This window comes from Homo sapiens, chromosome 6, assembly GCF_000001405.40.
Source record: "Homo sapiens chromosome 6, GRCh38.p14 Primary Assembly".
Classification (NCBI taxonomy): Eukaryota; Metazoa; Chordata; class Mammalia; order Primates; family Hominidae; genus Homo; species Homo sapiens.
Genome location: NC_000006.12, coordinates 16,889,408 through 16,891,947, shown reverse-complemented (window position 1 = coordinate 16,891,947; position 2,540 = coordinate 16,889,408). Strand labels below are relative to the sequence as shown.

At 45.9% G+C, this 2,540-nt stretch overlaps 2 annotated features.

The window, feature by feature from the left end:
• Positions 295–862: an enhancer, noted in NCBI's record as "OCT4-NANOG hESC enhancer chr6:16891317-16891884 (GRCh37/hg19 assembly coordinates)". NCBI's record gives its function as "activates a minimal SCP1, AML or CMV promoter by ChIP-STARR-seq in naive H9 embryonic stem cells {active_cell/tissue: H9 hESC(naive)}" and the evidence as "EXISTENCE:reporter gene assay evidence [ECO:0000049][PMID:30033119]".
• Positions 1,544–1,744: a silencer, noted in NCBI's record as "peak5695 fragment used in MPRA reporter construct". NCBI's record gives its function as "represses an SCP1 promoter by STARR-seq MPRAs in K562 erythroleukemia cells {active_cell/tissue: K562}" and the evidence as "EXISTENCE:reporter gene assay evidence [ECO:0000049][PMID:32103011]".

Sequence of the window (2,540 nt, the reverse complement as noted above, 5' to 3'; positions counted from 1 at the left end):
AGCCAAATATGAGTAACCAATGAGCTATGACACAGCCCCACAAGGTCCTGAGAGCATGTGCCCAAGGTGGTCAGCTACGGGTTGGATTTATACATTTTGAGGAGAAATAAGGCATCAATCAATATGTGTAAGATGTACATTGATTCAGTCCAGAAAGACAGGACAACTAAAAGTGAGGCTTCCAGGTCGTAGGTAGATTCAAAAGATTTTCAGATTGGCAATTGGTTGAAAGAGTTTCTCTAAAGACCTGGAATCAACAGAAGGGGGTGTCTGGGTTAAGATAAGGGGTTGTGGAGACTTTCATGTGCGTCCGTGTGAAGAGACCACCAAACAGGCTTTGTGTGAGCAACATGGCTGTTTATTTCACCTGGGTGCAGGCGGGCTGAGTCCGAAAAGAGAGTCAGCGAAGGGAGATAGGGGTGGGGCCGTTTTATAGGATTTGGGTAGGTAAAGGAAAAAGGGGGGTTGTTCTGTGGTGGGCAGGAGTGGGGGTCACAAGGTACTCAGTGGGGGAGCTTTTGAGCCAGGATGAGCCAGGAGAAGGAATTTCACAAGACAGTGTCATCAGTTACGGCAGGAACAGGCCATTTTCACTTCTTTTGTGGTGGAATGTTATCAGTTAAGGCAGGAACCGGCCATCTGGATGTGTACGTGCAGGTCACAGGGGATATGATGGCTTAGCTTGGGCCCAGAGGCCTGACATTCCTGTCTTCTTGTATTAATAAGAAAAACAAAATGAAATAGTGGTAAAGTGTTGGGACGGTGAAAATTTTGGGGGATGGTATGGGGAGATAAATGGGCGATGTTTCTCAGGGCTGCTTCGAGCGGGATTGGGGGTGGTTTGGGAACTTAGAGTGGGAGAGATTAAGCTGAAGGAAGATTTTGTGGTAAGGGGTGATATTGTGAGGTTGTTAGAAGGAACATTTGTAATTTAGAATTATTGGTGATGGCCTGGATACAGTTTTGTATGAATTGAAAAACTAAATGGAATAAGAGAAGGAGAAAAACAGGTTTAAAAGGTCTAAGAATTGGGACGACTCAGGACATCTGATTAGAGAGTGCCTAAGGAGATTCAGCATAGTCCTGCCAGCAAAGATTATTTATTTACTTCAAGAGTTAAGAGTGGCAGTTTGGGGATAGCACCAGGAGATATCAGCTGTGATGGCTTGGAGAAACAGTGTAAACCGGCAGTGTAAACAAGAGCAGGGCATGTATGAGTAGTTGAGAACGGTGAATAGGAGTATGACTAGACAGAAGATAGTAGGGATGACAAGTTTTTCTGGGGGCACAGTCTAAGTTGGTCTGGTGTCTGGAATGAGACTGGGGCCTAATAAAAAGGAGCGTCTATACAGGAGCTCAAATGGGCTGTACCTTGTAGCATTCCAAGGACAGGCCTGAATTCTGAGAAGCGAAAGTGGTAAAAGTATTGTCCAGTCCTTTTTAAGTTGGTGGCTGAGCTTGGTGAGGTGTGTTTTTAAAAGACCTTTAGTCCGTTCTACTTTTCCTGAAGACTGAGGACCGTAAGGGATATAAAGGTTTCACTAAATACTAAGAGCCTGAAAAGCTGCTTGGCTGATTTGACTAATAAAGGCTGGTCCGTTATCAGACTGTATAGAGGTGGGAAGGCTAAACTGAGGAATTATGTCTGACAGCAGGGACGAAATGACTGCGGTGGCCTTCTCAGACCCTGTAGGAAAGGCCTCTCCCTATCCAGTGAAAGTGTCTACCTAGACTAAGAGGTATTTTAGTTACCTGACTCGGGGCATGTTGAGTAAAGCTAATTTGCCAGTCCTGGGTGGGGGCAAATCCTCGAGCTTGATGTGTGGGGAAGGGAGGGGGCCTGAATAATCCCTGAGGGGTAGTAGAATAGCAGATGGAACACTGAGAAGTTATTTCCTTGAGGATAGATTTCCACGATGGAAAGGAAATGAGAGGTTCTAAGAGGCGGGCTAGTGGCTTGTACTATAGCATAGCCTGCCTTTGCTGGTGTGTGGCGATTAGGCCTGGTGGAACTGCCATCAATAAATCAAGCGTGATCATGGTGAGGAACAGGAAAGAAGGAAATACGGGGAAATGGGGTGAATGTCAGGTGGATCAGAGAGATACAGTCATGGGGGTCAGGTGTGGTATCAGGAATAATGTGGCAGGCCGGATTGAAGTCCGGGCCAGGAGCAATGGTTATTGTGGGACTTAACAAAGAGGGAGTGCAGCTGAAGGAGCCGGGGAGCAGAAAGTATATGCATCAGGTATGAGGAAGAAAATAGATTTTGGAAGTTATGAGAAATGTAGAGAGTAAGTTGAGCATAGTTTGTGATTTTGAGGGCCTCTAAAAGTATTAGGGCAGCAGCAGCCACTGCACAGAGACATGATGGCTAGGCTAAAACAGTAAGGTCAAGTTGTTTGCACAGAAAGGCTACAGGGTGCGGTCCTGGCTCTTGTGTAAGAATTCTGACCACACTAACCACGCCTAGGAAGGAAAGGAGTTGTTGTTTTGTAAGGGATTGAAGTTTGGGAGATTAATCGGACACAATCAACAGGGA